The sequence below is a fragment of the Homo sapiens genome, chromosome 2 (assembly GCF_000001405.40).
Source record: "Homo sapiens chromosome 2, GRCh38.p14 Primary Assembly".
NCBI classification, from domain to species: Eukaryota; Metazoa; Chordata; class Mammalia; order Primates; family Hominidae; genus Homo; species Homo sapiens.
This window is the reverse complement of record NC_000002.12, coordinates 13,963,642-13,980,111: the sequence shown is the minus strand read 5'-3', so window position 1 is coordinate 13,980,111 and position 16,470 is coordinate 13,963,642. Positions and strand designations below refer to the sequence as shown.

Here is a 16,470-nt window from a genome sequence, read left to right as displayed (position 1 = left end):
GGCATCAAAACTTTTACCTTTGATTTCCATTTGTACTTTTTGCTAGATTGGTTTTCTGGGAAAGTTTAACTTCTTTGAGTCTGTTGCCTCATCTTTGAAACATGCATAAAAGTATTTCCCATTTGAAATGTTGGTGGCTTTTAAACATTGGACTGACTAGCAATGCACTTTACAAAGAGACTCCTTTCATCTTCTTTCTGCATTCTTTTAGGATTCAGATCAAGCATTCATCTCCTTCCAAAATGTTTCCCTGGCCAATAAAAGTAATAATAATAATAACAGTTAACATTCCTCAAATATTTACTCTGTGCCCAACAGATTCAAGAGTTTTGCACAAATTATCTCATACATTCATCACAAACCACTCTCTGTGGTTGTATTACTGTCTTCATTTTACAGATTTTACAGATCAAAAAAGCTGAGACATAGGAGGTGTAAGTAACATGTTCAAGATTCCATTGTGGTAAATGGGAGAGCAGAGGCTTGGACCTTAAGAGTCTGAGACAGAGCCCTTGCTGTCAACTATTGCAGAGTTCTGCTCACACTGTGTGGTGTTTATGGCCCCCTACCCTAGACTCTTTCACAGTATTTACTGCACTTCATTGTAGTTTTCAGTTGGTGTGTTTTCACCTCTAGATCATCAGCTTCTCGAGAGAATTAACTCCTTCATACTCAAGTACAAGATGTAGCATACAGAGTATTTAAGAAAATAAATAGTGCATATGAACATTTAGCATAAAACGTAATTTGATGAGAAAGAGTTGAACAGAAACATCCAGTAGATTGTCTCATGGGTGGGAGGGTGGCTGTGATACTTGCTGTGGGGAATAATTGACAATACTACTCAGAAAGTAACCACTAAGAAATGCTTTCAGAGCAATCAACCTTTTATGTTTCTGTGTCTTCATTAGATTAAAACCTTAAGAGAGCAGGGAGGTTTTCTTATTTAATTTATTTTTTAGCCTTCATTCCTAATATAGTACTTGGTACAAAGTAGTAATTTAGGTAATGCTTGTTGGATTCATCTCAAATTTTAATTAGTTCTTTCTTTTTGCCAAAAATGGAATCAGCCTGTTATGCTACCCATTCTACTCAGAAATTCAAATATGTGTAGATCTTGAGAAGGTGATCTTAAAATGCACATGAAATCATAAGTGTTCAAGAGGAGTCAGGGTAATTTTGAGAAAGAAGAATAGACAGTAGGCTTGTCTTATTAATTATAGATTATATATTAAAATGCTATGAATTTGATTGTAATATGGTACAGATTTTAATAAAAAATTTGGGATAAAAATTTTAATTAAAAAATTGAGAATTAGGCTCATGCATGTATAAAATTCATATATAGTATGTATGTAGTAAGTAATATGTATGAAATAAGCAATATTTCAACTAAGCAGAAAAAGATCGATTATGGAATCAATGACGTTGGGTTAGTTAAGTATCCATTAAGGAGGGGAGAAAAATCAAGTCAGACTGTTTCTATCAGTTCTAGATAGATGACAAATAAAGTTTTCAAAACAAGACTAAACAACAACAAAAAAAACAATAAATATAAACCTGGAAAATGTGAGAATACATTAATGCGGTCATGACTTTAGACTTATCATACTATCACAAGTAAGCTTCTGAATTGTATGCATTCTATTATTGTTGTATGCCTCACATAGCACGTGGCACACTAAACTGAACATCAAAGAGATCTCCTTAAGTCATTATTAATTTTAGTATTCTCTGCGTGAAGTAGGTTGGAAAAAAGCATAGTTTCTTGAAACTTCTATTTTTAAAGGAGCTAATCCAAATTTATATTTGGCTATGAATTTTACAGCTCTATCTAGATCTGATGAAGATAGATCTGTTAGCTTCTGGGGGCCTGTTTTAAGGTCTTAGATGTTCTTGTCTCATCTTATTTTGACCTTGGTGATGGGGCAGTGTACTTTAGGATATTAGCACAAATTAAGAAAAGATAAGCATTTGAGGCTATGGATAGCCTAATAACCCCAATTTGATCCCATTGATCATTACACATTTTATACAGGTACCCCAAACATATGTACAACTAAGATATATCAATAAAAATACAAAAAATGGTGGAGTTTATGTTTCCAACAGCCTAAGAGGGCATAGAAAAGTTCAGTTTCAGTGTTGATTTTTCTATCAACTGGTGACTAAAATACTAGTAGTAATTTCATCTTCTATGAAAGAGAGTAGAATGTAGTCAAATCTTGTAACAGAATGACACATAAAATATTTTCTTTTACTTCTTCAATTAACTTGAATAGGATGGAAAGGTCAACATGCTTATTCCTATGTATGACATGAATATATGGCATTATTTAAAAAACATGGACATTTCACAACAAAAAATTAAGCAGCATTTAATTAAACATAAATAAAAATCATCTTGCATTTTGAAGGATAAGAAGCAAGAAGCATTTGGATCAGGTTTTTTTTTTTTTTTTTTTTTTTTTTTTTTAGACTGAGTTTCACTCTTGTTGCCCAGGCTGGAGTGCAGTGGCACGATCTCGGCTCACTGCAACCTCTGCCTCCTGGGTTCAAGTGATTCTCCTGCTTCAGCCTTCCTGAGTAGCTGGCATTACAGGCATGCACCACCACGCCTGGCTAATTTTGTATTTTTAGTAGAGAAGGGCTTTCCCCATGTTGGTCTGGCTGGTCTCGAACTCCCGACCTCAGATGATCCACCCGCCTCCGTCTCCCAAAGTGCTGGGATTACAGGCATGAGCCACCATGCCCAGCCGCATCTATGTCAGTTTTAAAGTAAAGACATTGATGGATATACTGATCTGGAATGTCTGGAATACAGTTTTATAGTCTGAATTTTAAATTGAAGTTTTGCATGCCATATTATCTCTGCTTCCCTAAAGGTCTGGATGATATCTATTTATTTCTGAAGATTTTCCTCAGACATCCAGCGTTCGTCTTCACTGAGTAACTACAATACCCCTGCAATTATTCCATCTCTCTCATGCATCATCAATTTATTTTTCTGTATAGGATCTGTCCTAACAGCTTATAAACACATGTAAATATATTCCTTAGTTGACTTCAGATGCACATTTTTTTTACTTGTTTACATGGAAAAATAATGAATAAAGTGCTTCTAAATGTCCTCATTTTCTAATGTCTAAAGTTCTCTTCTCCACTGGGTCCCCACGACTATACAGCTATTGTTCACAGCATTGTTATCAATAACCTACTCCTTGATATATCAAATAGCCACTTACTTTACTTGGCTTCTCAGAAAAAAATGGACAAATATTGTCTACTTGCGGTTGGCTTCTGGATTACATAATTGCCCTAGCGTCTCATTAGTTTCCTGGCAATTTCTCACGAGATTTTTTTTCTGGCTTTGCCTCCTTGCTTAACATCTATTGAAATATCTGAGGACATAGTAGGGATCCTTCTTCCTTATTTATCTACATAAGTAACCTCATTCAGTCTGTGGCTCTAAGATATTTATTTCCAGTCCCACTCTTTACTTGTAGGTCCAGACTTACATTTGTGCATCTCCCTGTGGATCTTTTTTCCTTTCTTCAAAAGCTTCTTCAAATCAGTTGCTGAAGTGAAAAACTAGGTGTCTTTCTTTTCTTCTTCCTACACCCAGTCCATTAGGAATTGCTATGAACTTTATCTTGAAATATATGCAGAAGTAAACCCCTTCACTCCAATTCCACTGCACACATGCTGGTCAAAGCAGCCACCATTTTTCATCAGGACTCATTCAATAGTCTCCTGATCTTGTTTTGGCCTCATCCTTACAATTCACTTTTCACTCAGCAACCAGATTTCTAATTATTTTTTTATAAAGATTATAACACTCATTCTTTAATGTCTCTAATGGCTTCAAATTTTAGTAAAAATCCTGACACTTTATTTTTTGGGGAGTAAAAAGCCTTTTATAATTCAGCCCTTGACTATCTCTTCAATTTCTCTTTATGTAACTCTCCTCTTCATCTTTTATTCCCTATATTCTTGACTCACTAGTATTTTTCCTGTTTCTCAAAAATTCTAAGCTTATTTGAACATTAAGCCTTGCTCTAATGTTATATATTTCCCTGAAGTGTTCTTACCTTTCAACTTTATCACCAGATCTCAGTTTGAGTACCATATTCTCACAGGGGCTTCTGTTGTCAATCTAATGTCTGACTTGTTCACTTGCTATTGCTCTATCCTATTTTAATTCCCTAAGAACATTCTTTACTTTTTGTTTGTTTGCTTGCTTGTTGCTCACTTGTTCTCTCTTCTCACACAGGCATGCAATTCCATAAGAGCAAAACCTTTCCTCTCTTGTTCTCCTTGTATTTCCATTGGCCAGAAAGGCATATGATATATAACAGTTGCTCAAAAAATATCACTTGAAAGAATCGGTAAATTGATAATTTACTATTTATTTGTCATCTGTCTGAGACTCATGACTGGCATGATTCATTCTTTGTATCTTCAGTAACCCCATGATAGCAAGAAAATCTATATATGAAAAAATGCCGAAATAAATGTAAGATTCATTAACAATGCTCCCATCATTGGATCTCTCAAAAGTCCTAAATAGTAATCTTCAATTGCAAAGTAACCTAGTTTTATTGTACATGATTGAAAGAAAAAGAGAATTCAGAACTTGTAGAAAAGGTGACTCTATGACCTTCCCAGACCTGTAAGAGGGTGCACCTGAAGGTGATGCAAACCTCAGACACTGTGTCACCCCTGCCACCCCAGAGAAAGACAGGTGCTATAAAGCCCAGCCCAGCCACCCTAGCTATGCCCTTTCCAAATGGCTGATTGGAAAATCTTTGAGCGTAATAAAATTATTTTTGTTTTTTATGCCACTAAGTTGGCAGTGGTTTATCACACAACCATAGCATGGATGAAAGTCATTAGTAAAAGCATCTGTGTTTTGTGGATCAAGAGGGTATGTGGAGCTACAGGGTCCCCAGGTACCTAGACCATCTCAGACCAGGTGGGAACGAAAGCTGTTCGCAGACACTAATATCTCTATGTGGAATCCTTATGTTGTCCTCCTTCTAGAGATCATACAGTCTTGGGATTTATTCTGGCCATTGGATGACAGAAAGTACAGAACTCATACTCACTGCGGATGTGAATTAGCACAGGTCAGGCCCTGCCGTGGAAAAATTTTGAATACAGTATGAGAAAAAAGTCAATTGCATGGAGGCCAAAATGTTACATCAAACACAAAATAAGAAACTTAAATATAGTATATGATTTTAAATCAATTGTTATAAAATACTTTCAGCTTTAGAGAGTTTCTCAGGGAATGTCTGAAAGAGGGCTGTTACAAACACATCTAGAAAACTAACTAGTACATTTTCTAATGAATATTATCTATAGATGACATTACCAATTAAAAAAATACTTTATCCAGTGAGCTGTAACTTGTAGTCCTAGAAAAATGTATTCTTTGATGAAAAACAAAAAATCTTTCTGATTTTTTTTTTCACTTACGAAATAGATTCAAGAGGAGGAGGTGAGGACAAACCAATGAAATTCCTCATTGCCCACAGGAAACTTTCCCAAACCAACTTAGCCCAAGTTATCTGCTTGTCCATGTTTTCATTGTGAGGTCAGTGGCCTCCCCTGATATTTAGCAGGCATACACTTTCATTCCCTGCCTTTTGATATTTCCATCTTCTCCTCTACTGCACTGTCAATGCAAATTATTTAGCTCACTGCTCAATGCTGAGTTGACAGGATTGGTTCAGCTGTGGTAGTCTTGGTAGGAGTCCTGTGAGGGTCTCTGGTTATCCCAGAGTAAATGGGTAGAAAGTAATATATAATTCAAAATGTTAGGAAAGCATCATCACATAGGAGAGAGCTAGTTCCCAGGTGAGGGATTTCCGTTTGGCCAAATTGTAGCCACGTTAGAATTTAGTGGAGGTTCCTTGAAACAACATTGTAAGGATATGTGGAAATAGGGCATTTTTAAAATAAACAACAGCACATATTGGATGAAAAATGTATTAAATGGACAATTAAAATAGTTTCTTGACACCTCCCTGCTTCCACCCTGTTCACGGATTGTACACAGTCTATTCTGTACATAACAGAGTGATTTTTTAAAAATACATCAGATGATGCTAGCCATCTGCTCAGAACCTTCCTGCAGTTGCTATTTCATGAAGGATAAAGTACAAAGTCAATGGCCTACAAGGCTGAATACATCATGGCCTGGGCTTATTTCCTGCTGTATCTCCTAACACTCTGTTTTGTTTATCCCAGCCTGGCCACATTCGTGTTCTCTTCCTCAGGACCTTTGCATGTCCCATTCATGGTGCCTGGAGTATTCTTTTCCCCAGCACTCCCTGGAGCTCCCTCTATCCTTTCACTTAGGTTGCTTCTAATTTCTCACTTTTTTGGGCTGCAGGCTATGGCTCACGCCCAGCACTTTGGGAGGCCGAGGCAGGCGGATCACCTGAGGTCAGGAGTATCCAGACCAACCTGGCCAACACGGCGAAACCCCGTCTCTACTAAAAATACAAAAATTAGTCGGGCGTGGTGGCGGGTACGGGTAATTCCAGCTAATCAGGAGGCTGAGGCAGGAGAATGGCGTGAACCTGGGAGGCGGAAGTCGTAGTGGGTAGAGATTGCGCCACTGCACTCCAGCCTGAGCGACAGAGCCAGACTCCATCTCAAAAAAAAAAAAATTTTTTTGCTTTCTTAGATATTTCCTTTGACTTCCCTACATAAAACTCTCTCCAAGTATGTCAGTCACTCACTAGCCACACGCTATTTCATTTAGTTCACAGTATTTATCACTATGTGATATACATATGTGTATATATATGTATATATGTGTATATATATGTGTATATATGTATATATGTGTATATATGTATATATATGTATATATATGTGTATATATGTATATATATGTGTGTATATATGTATATATATGTGTATATATATATGTGTATATATTTATGTGTATATATATTTTCTTTTTATTATCTGTTTTTCTTATTAGGATTCAGGTTTCTTTAGGGCAGGTGTTTTGTTGGGTTCCCCACCTAACCTCCAGGTTGTAGTATGTAGTAAGTGTTCAATAAATACTTGTTGAATTATATTTACTATTGCATTATATAAATATTTGTTGAATTTGAATATCAAATGATATTGGACAAATTAAATGCAGTATTTACATGTACCCGAAAATTCACCTGTATATGCTCACCAAACAATTCTTAATTAGCTTAATTGGACCTGGAGTTATGAGTACTTTAGAGACCATTTAGCCCAATATCACCACATTAATGCACTAAGAACAGGGAAGTAAATAAGGTAATCACATCAATATTATCATTTAGTTGGTAAGCATAATACTATGTGTGTATAATACACATTTTTAGTAACTATAATATTCTTAATAATCTTTTTTTTTTTTTTTTGAGACGGAGTCTCGCTCTGTCACCCAGGCTGGAGTGCAGTGGCGCCATCTCGGCTCACTGCAAGCTCCACCTCCCAGGTTCACGCCATTCTCCTGCCTCAGCCTCCCGAGTAGCTGGGACTACAGGCGCCCGCCACCACACCCGGCTAATTTTTTGTATTTTTAGTAGAGATGGGGTTTCACCGTGTTAGCCAGGATTGTCTCGATCTCCTGACCTCGTGATCTGCCAGCCTCGGCCTCCCAAAGTGCTGGGATTACAGGCGTGAGCCACCGCGCCCAGCCAATAATCTTACAAATTTCTCATATTTACACTTATTGAGTGATGATGTGAAAACTTATCATCTGAGAGCTGAGTAAATAGAGGAACCTAGAATTAGAACTCAGGTCTGTCTGATTTTCGAGCATGTGTTCCTTCCATTCTACTGCCTAACCTCTTTCAGTTTCCCCCTAGTAATTTCACTTACCGGGAATTAGGTTGGTCTTGGTGCAGTCCTGTTTTATTACTGGTCTCTAGGAGTGGGCAGTGACCCTGGTTTTGAGTCCGGAACCCATTCTAATTGCTTTTTATTTTGACAGTCATTTGCCATCATAAGTTCTCAGTTCTTTTTTTTTTTTTCCTACTCTAAAGTAGTCATAATACTATCCATTTTATCTACCATCTTCAAAAGGCTCGAGTACATGTGAAATTATTTTGCTAATTTTTAATTGGGTTATGCAAATAAGAGGAATTCTTACAGCTGTCAATAACAAATATTTAGCAGCTTTCATAGACGGTTTCGATTATAGTAGTGCCAAGTTTTGCAGCTTGCTTCTATTATTGCTAATTCTTTCGGATTCCAACCTCACATTATCACATACATTTGTAGATATCAGACTCAAAACAAAGGCAAAGTTAAGAAAATCTAAAAGAATACACAATTTTCATATCTTCCAAATTTTCAAGACCATTCTCTGGCTAGGACTGACTCAAATGTGCTTTATAGTTTTGGAGACCCATTTTTTTTTTCCTGTGGGAAGAAATAATTTATCTAAGAATATACAGGGGGCGTATTTGGAAGATATTTTATGTTGCTGGATTTTGTAAGATTTGGGCTATGCTCTTATCTGAATACATGCATAATACCCGTTTGTTGAGCCCGTTTTGGTAAAATGACTGAGTTAGATAACATCAAGTTAAGAAATGGGTAAGGGGCCGGGCGCGGTGGCTCACGCCTGTAATCCCAGCACTTTGGGAGGCCGAGACGGGCCGATCATGAAGTCAGGAGATCGAGACCATCCTGGCTAACACAGTGAAACCCTGTCTCTACTAAATATCCAAAAAAATAGCCAGGCACGGTGGCCAGCACCTGTAGTACCAGCTACTCGGGAGGCTGAGGCAGGAGAATGGCGTGAACCCGGGAGGCGGAGCTTGCAGTGAGCCGAGATCGCACCACTGCACTCCAGCCTGGGCGACAGAGCAAGACTCCGTCTCAAAAACAAACAAACAAAAAAAGAAATGGGTAAGAAGAAGAGTCCTTATCTCAGTGTATAAGGTGGCTTTGGGGAAACTGTAATTGAAGTAATATGTTGAGATGATTTTTGGAGGTAACATTAAATATAAATTTACAGGAAGTCATGAGCTTTAGTCTGTCATTAGTCTCAAGAAGTTACCAAAGGCTAACTGCAATTCTGAAAATGTGAACCTTAAAAGGTAAATTTTTTAAATCTCTACTGAAGTTCTCCTACCAGAGTTTTATTTATAGTTCTCACTGACAGTGGAACTGACTGTTCAACTCTTTAAATCAGCAAAAGAACAAAATATAAGGAATTGTAACAATTGACACAGACAGGAAACGTCCAGGAATCTCCCCTCCATTATTACAACTCCCCCAAGAAGAGCTTCTCTTTTGGCCAAAGACTGACTTGGGCCATAGTATTAGGAGTTGGAGCTTTCAGATGAGTGATAAAAGGTTCAAAAGCTTCCTTTGTCTTGAGACTTTCTCCATTTTTCCTTTGTTTTTGGGTTGATGTCAACCTGCTCCTCTCTTTCATTTTCTGTCTTTGGGAATGCTTAGCTAAAAAGCTAGTGAAAATTAAAGTAAGGTTGAGAAAACACAAAGTTTGAAGGGTTATGTCAAAGTAGCTCTAAGAGTCTGGGGCCTATACCTCAGCAGGCAATAATGTATTCCAATATCTCCTTTCATACTTTTCCCAAGTAGAGGACTGTGAAGTCAAGCATAGAGAATGGTACTGCAATATTAAACAGATAATTTTGTATTTATGTTTCTACTTCACTCATTTTTGAGAAGATGGTTAATTAAAGTAAATATATAAATATTACCAATACCTAATATATACTATTCTTATCTTTTATAAAATGCTTCCTCATTTATTTTTTATAGCTGATATAGGCAAATCCTATGAGTTATGCTATTTTCATTTTACAGTTGAGAAGAATGTATTGAGAAAATTTAATAAACATGGCCAAGGTCAGTAAATTGAGCCCGGTCACAAATCTAGCTTTTAACTCCTTTATTTTGTATGCTTTGCTTCTTGGAGAAGTGAAAGGCCAACGTGGAAAATATACAAAAATGTCAAATATGATAGTTTATATTTAAAATAGAGAGTTGATAAAAATTACTTTTCTGGCAAACTGATAACTAATACCTTGGAAGACAACCCTGTATTTTAAACCAACCAACTATTAGAATTCCTAAAACAGAAATAAGTTTCCTTACATAGGCTCTGTCTCATAAAAAGGCTGATTGTGTTTTATTAATGAGGTTTCCTAGGTTAAGCTAATCATATTTATGTATTAAAATTTTCAAAGTTCTCAAATTGCCCACAAGTAATTTAAAACATCTGACTCAAATGACTGTAAGCAGTGCCAACATTCATTTATGAACTTGCATTATCATCTAGAATATAATGTTGCATAGAACTAATATAAATGTTGACTTTTTTCTTTTTAACCTTCCTTCTGAATGTCAAGCAGATGGTTTGATTTAGGTATCAATAAAGGCCCTTAAAGTGTGAGTGAACAATACCCTAAAGGGCTTCTAGTAACTGCTGCTTCAAAGCATAGAACATAATAAAAATAAATAAATAAAAATAATCAGTTTTATTAAAGAAGAAGGGATAGAGTGAAGAATCAGAAAATAAAAAAGAAAAATTTTATGATTTCAAGTTCTCCTGAGTAGACAATCTATTCCAGTTTTGCAGTTTATCAATTATAAATTTAAAACTCAATTAACAAATACTCTTTTTAAAGTTTAATCATGACACTGATGTCTGTACCTACCCCTTTGCTTTGAGACATTTTTAACTTCCTAGCAAAGAAGAGGTATCCAGAGTCCCACAGTTTTGCTAAATTAAGGAGCAAGAGATAAGAATTTATAGAAATTAAGAGTGTTAGAATTTATGGATCCCAGGAATGGAAAGGAGAAAATTATTCAGAGAAAGAATAAAAGAAATCTACAAAATGGTTTCCTTGGGTCTTTGATTGAAATTCCCCAAGGATGATCACAGCACAATTGCAGAAAACAAAAACAAAAAAAACATTGTATGGCAACATAAAGGTGAAAAATTTCTAGAGTTCACACAGAAAAGGGGATTGTTTCAGTTTCTAGCAGTCAGTGTGCAGAGACTTTATTGGATGCTTGTGCCCTCAGTAGAGGCCCAAGGAAAGCCTTAGAAGTGAAACTAAACTACCCTGGAGTAAGACTGCTCTCGACTTGCCCTAAGAAACTTTAGAAACAAGTCTCAGAGACTGCTAGAACACACACCAACACCCTCCGACTATTACAACCAACTATAACACTCAAAAATACAGAATTCCAAAAATCTGGAATTCAATAAAATATGATGCATATGCATGAGAAAACCCAGTCAGCTGAAACAGACCAAAATAACAGAGATGATGAAATTAACAAGTACTTTAAAACAGATAAAAAATAGGTCCAAGGATGTAAAGAAAATCCTAAGCAAATTGAGAAGAAAAATAAAATACATAAAAGGAGCAAATACAATTTCTAGATTTGAAAATATAATATCTAATATGAAAATTTTACTGGCCCGGCGCTGTGGCTCACGCCTGTAATCCCAGCACTTTGGGAGATGGAAGCGGGCAGATCACCTGAGGTAAGGAGTTCGAGACCAGCGTGGCCAACGTGGTGAAATCCCGTCTATACTAAAAATACAAAAATTAGCCGGGCGTGGTGGTGGGCGCCTGTAATCCCAATTACTCGGGAGGCTGAGGCAGGAGAATCACTTGAACCCAGGTGGCAGAGATTGCAGTGAGCCAAGATTGTGCCATTGCACTCCATCCTGGGCGACAGAATAAGACTCTGTCTCAAAAAAAAAAAAAGAAAGAAAAATTTACTGACAGTTTGAATAAGGTAATCACTGAAGAAGAGTAATTAATTTGAAAGCAAAGCAATACAAGTTAATAACTGAAGAACAACAGGAAAAGAATGAATGGGAGATAAGTGGAGCTTCAGTGACCTGGGAAATAATGTTAGATGGTCTCATATTTGAGCAATTTTGAGCCACAAGGGGAAAAAGGAAGCGCAGAAAACATTTTCAAGAATAATGGCTACAACATTTTTTAAAAAATGATAAAACTATAAATGCACACATACATAATGTTAAATAAAATGAAAAGAATAAACTCCAAAAAAGTCACAAAACACCCACTTCATATTAAAAATGTTTAAACAATAGAGATGAAGGTTAAAATCTGAAAAGCAGCCTGATTTTTAAAAGACAAATTATTTAGAGAGGAAGAAAATTGCAAATTTCCACAGATTTCTTGTCAAAAATTCTGCAAGCCAGAAGACAAAGACATATTTAAAGTGCTGGGGGAAGGGGGAAACTCTGCCAAACTAGAATTTCTCACCAGTGAAAACTTATACTAAAACTGAAGAAAAATGAGCATTTTTTTTCAGACACATGAATTCACTGTTGATAGACCCGCTATATTAAAAAAAATGTTAAAGATAGTTCAGGTAGAACATTGGAACTAAACAGGGAAATAACTACAGGAAAGAATGAGGAGCACTGGAAATGGCAAATATATGATAGAAATTAATTTTTTTAATCTTTTAATTAAAAAATTGACTTTTGTCCAGTTTTATTGAAGTGCAGTTGACAACTAAAAATTATATATATTTAAGGTTCACAATTTGGTGACTTGATGTATCTTTACGTTGGGAAATGTTTACCACAATCAAGCTAATTAACATATCTGTAATTTCATGTCTCACATAGTTACTATATTCTGTGCATGTTTGTGTGAATGTGTGTGTTATGAACACATAAGATGTACTGGCTTAGCAAATTTCAAATATACAATACAATATCGTTAACTGTAGTAATATTGTTTTACAATTAGATATCTAGAACTTCTTCATTTTGCAAAACCGAAACTTTGTACACCTCACCTTGACCAACATCTTTGTCCCACCTTGAAGCGACCATTTGTCCCTTCCTTCAGCTTCTGGTAACCGCCATTCTACTATGTTTCTATGAATTTAATTATTTTAGATTGCACATATAAGTGAGATCATGCAGTATTTGTCTTTCTACATTTATCTTATTTCACTTAGCATAATGTCTGCCAGCTCAGAAGACTTACCATAACATCTTCCACAAGGATTTATTGTGCAGATGGGATGATTTCCTTCATTTTTTAAAGGCCCATTAATCTTATTTCATGTGTCTGTGTGTGTGTGTGTGTGTGTGTGTGTGTGTGTATACACAATGGAATGCTAATATATATGCCCAGTTTTCTTCATATATTTATTTATCCATTGTTGAGCATTTAGGTTTTTTAATTTCTTGGCTACTATGAATAATACTAAAATGAACATGAGGATGTGGATGTCTCTTACATCTTGATCATATTTTCTTTGGAAATATACCCTAATTATAGTTGTTAGATTATAACGTGTTTCTATTTTAAATTTTTTTAGAAACTTCCATACTGTTTTGTATACTGGCTGAACCATTTTGAATGCCCAGCAATAGTGTACAAGGATTCCTCTTACTGCATATCCTTGCCAACACTTATCTTTCATCTTTCTGTTAGTAGCCACTCGAACAGGTGTGAATTGATATTTCATTGTGATTTTGATTTGCAGTTCCTTGATGATTAGTGATAGCGAGCACCTTTCATCTACCTGTTGGTCATAAATATTTCTTCTAAAAATTTCTATCTAGACATTTGCCTATTTTACAACCAGACTATTATTATCATTCTGTTGATATTTAGTTGTAGGAGTTCCTTACATATTTTGAATAGTAACCCCTTATGAGATATGTGGCTTGCAAATATTTTCTCTCATTCTGCAGGTTGACTCTCTTTATTTTTTCCTTTGATGCGCAGAAACTTTTTAGCTTGATCCAATCCAGTGTCCATTTTTGCCTTTGTTTCCTGAGTGTTTGGTGTACTATATAGAAATTATTGCCCAGATCAATGCTAGGAAATTTCTTCTTTATGTTTTTTCCCACAGATTTTACAGTTTCAGGTCTTACATTTATATCTTGAATTCATCTTGAATTCATTTTTGTATAAAATGTGAAATAAGCGTTTGATTTCGTTTTTACATGCAAATGTTTGTTTTCCCAGCACCACTTACTGACGACACTATTTTTTCCCATTGTGTTTTTTCCCTTCTAAAGTTTAACAAATAAAAATGGAAACATAGCATACCCAAATGTTAGTGATTCAGCAAAAGCAATATGAAGAGTAAAAGTTGTAGTGAGAAATGCCTCCTTAAAAAAAAATCTCAAATAAGCAATCTAACTTTATAGCTCACGGAACTAGAAAAAGAAGGACAAATGAAGCCTGAAGTGAGGATAAGGAAGGGAATTATAAATACTAGAGGAGAAGTAAATAAAATAAAGAATAAAGTGTTAAAAAAACAAGTAAATTAATAGTTTATTTAATAAACAAAATAAGTCAACACTTAGGCTAAATAAGAAAAAAACATAGAAGACTCAAATAAATAAAATTCTAAATAAAAGAAGCAAAGAGGAGGCATTACAATGTATCCCTTGAAAATAAAAAAGGATCATATGGGACTATTATGAAAAAAGAAAATATTTGAAGGTATAAAGCCTACTGGTAAACTTAAGAACACAGGAAAACCCAGAATACTCTAGTAGTATAATTGTGGCCTGCAATCTGCTCATAACTCTGGAAATAAGCCCACAAGACAAGTCTATCAAAAACAACAATAGCTACAGCAATCAGTTAAGAGATAGGCAATATACAAATACATAAAATTAGGCAACATAAAAAGTCTAAATGTGAGGGGATATGAGTTACAGTGCAGATTTTTTTCTTCAATTTGTCCATTGTTTTTATCCTTTTCTTGGTAATCTAAGTTTTCATTTCTTTAATATAATGTGTTATAGCTATAAGATGAATTTTATAAGCCTCATGGTAACAACAACGCAAAAACTATAGTAGATTCACTGAAAATAAAAAGCGACAAAATAAAATGTACTACCAGAGAAATCACCTAACCACAAAGGATGAATAATCGAGTAGAGAAGAGTTACAAACAACCAGAAAACAAGAAACAAAAAAGCAGTAGAAAGTCCTCATTTATTAATAATAACACTGAATATAAATTGACTCAGTTCTCTAATTAAAAGGCATAGAGTGGCCAAATAAAGAAACAGGATCCAACTATATGCTACCTATAAGGAGCTTATTTCACCTGTAGTGACACACAGAGACTGAAAATGCAGGGGTGAGAAAAAATGCTTTATGCAACTGGAAACCAAAAAAGAGAAGGAGTAGCTGTACTTATAACAGATAAAATGGGACACAAATCAAATACTGTAAAAAGAGACAAAGAATATCAGTATATTATAATAATAAAGGAGTCAATATTTGGTAGATAAGCTAAGAAAAAAAAAAGAGAGAAAACCAAAATAAATAACATCAGATTGAAAAAGGAGACACAGAAAACAAGACGACAAAAATACAAAGAATCACTAGAGACTATTAAAAACAACTGTATATCAACAAATTTGAAAACCTAGGAGAAATTTATGAAATCCTAAACACATACAACTTACCAAGATTAAACTGTAAAGAAATAGAAGACCTAAACAAACCTCAAAAATAATGAGTAACAAGATCAAAACTGTAATAAAATGTCTCCCAGCAAGGAAAAGCTCACAATCTAATGTCTTCACTGCTGAATTCTACTATATATTAAAATAACGAATACAAATTCAACTCAAACTCTTCAAGAAAACAATGAGGAGGAGGGAATACTTCCAAACTTGTTTTAGTAGGTCAGTATTACCCTGATACCAAAACCAAATAAGGATACAACAAAAAATGAAAACTACAAGTCAATATCACTGATTGAACATAGATGTAAATATCCTCAACAAAATACTATCAAACTGAATTCAACAAAACACTAAAAAAATCACTTACCATGATCAAATCGAATTCATCTTAGGGATGCAAGGATGGTGCATATGCAGACTAATAAACTTGATACATTATGGTAACAAAACCAATAACAAACCCATATGTTTATTTCAATAGATGCTGAAAAAGCATTCAATAAAATTCAACATCACTTAATGATAAAAATCCTCAACAAACAGGGTAGAGAAGGAACAAATCTCAAAATAATAAATAACATATTGACAAACTCGCAACTATACCAACATGTCAGGTGGGGTAAAATTGAAAGCCTTTCTTCTAAGATCTGGAACAAGACAAGGATGCTCACTTTCACCACTTTTATTTAACATATTACTAGAAGTCTGGCCAGAGCGATTAGAAAAGAGAAAGAAATAAAGAGCATCCAAATTGTAAAGGAAAAAGTCAAATTAGCCTTGTTTGGATGACATGATCTTATACTTAGAAAAAGCTCCAGCAAAAACTCTTAGAAATGATATAGAAATTCAATAAAGTTACAGAATTAAAAATCAACGTACAAAAATCAATACCATTTATATACATCAACAGCAAACAATCTGAAAAAGAAATCATAAAAACAATCTTATTTACAACAGCTACAAATAGTATAAAATAC

At 35.0% G+C, this 16,470-nt stretch overlaps 1 annotated feature.

The window, feature by feature from the left end:
* Positions 12,737–12,906: an enhancer, noted in NCBI's record as "experimental_52900 CRE fragment used in MPRA reporter constructs". NCBI's record gives its function as "activates a minimal promoter by MPRAs in K562 erythroleukemia cells, with activity observed for both the introgressed and non-introgressed 2:14107416 variant alleles {active_cell/tissue: K562}" and the evidence as "EXISTENCE:reporter gene assay evidence [ECO:0000049][PMID:34662402]".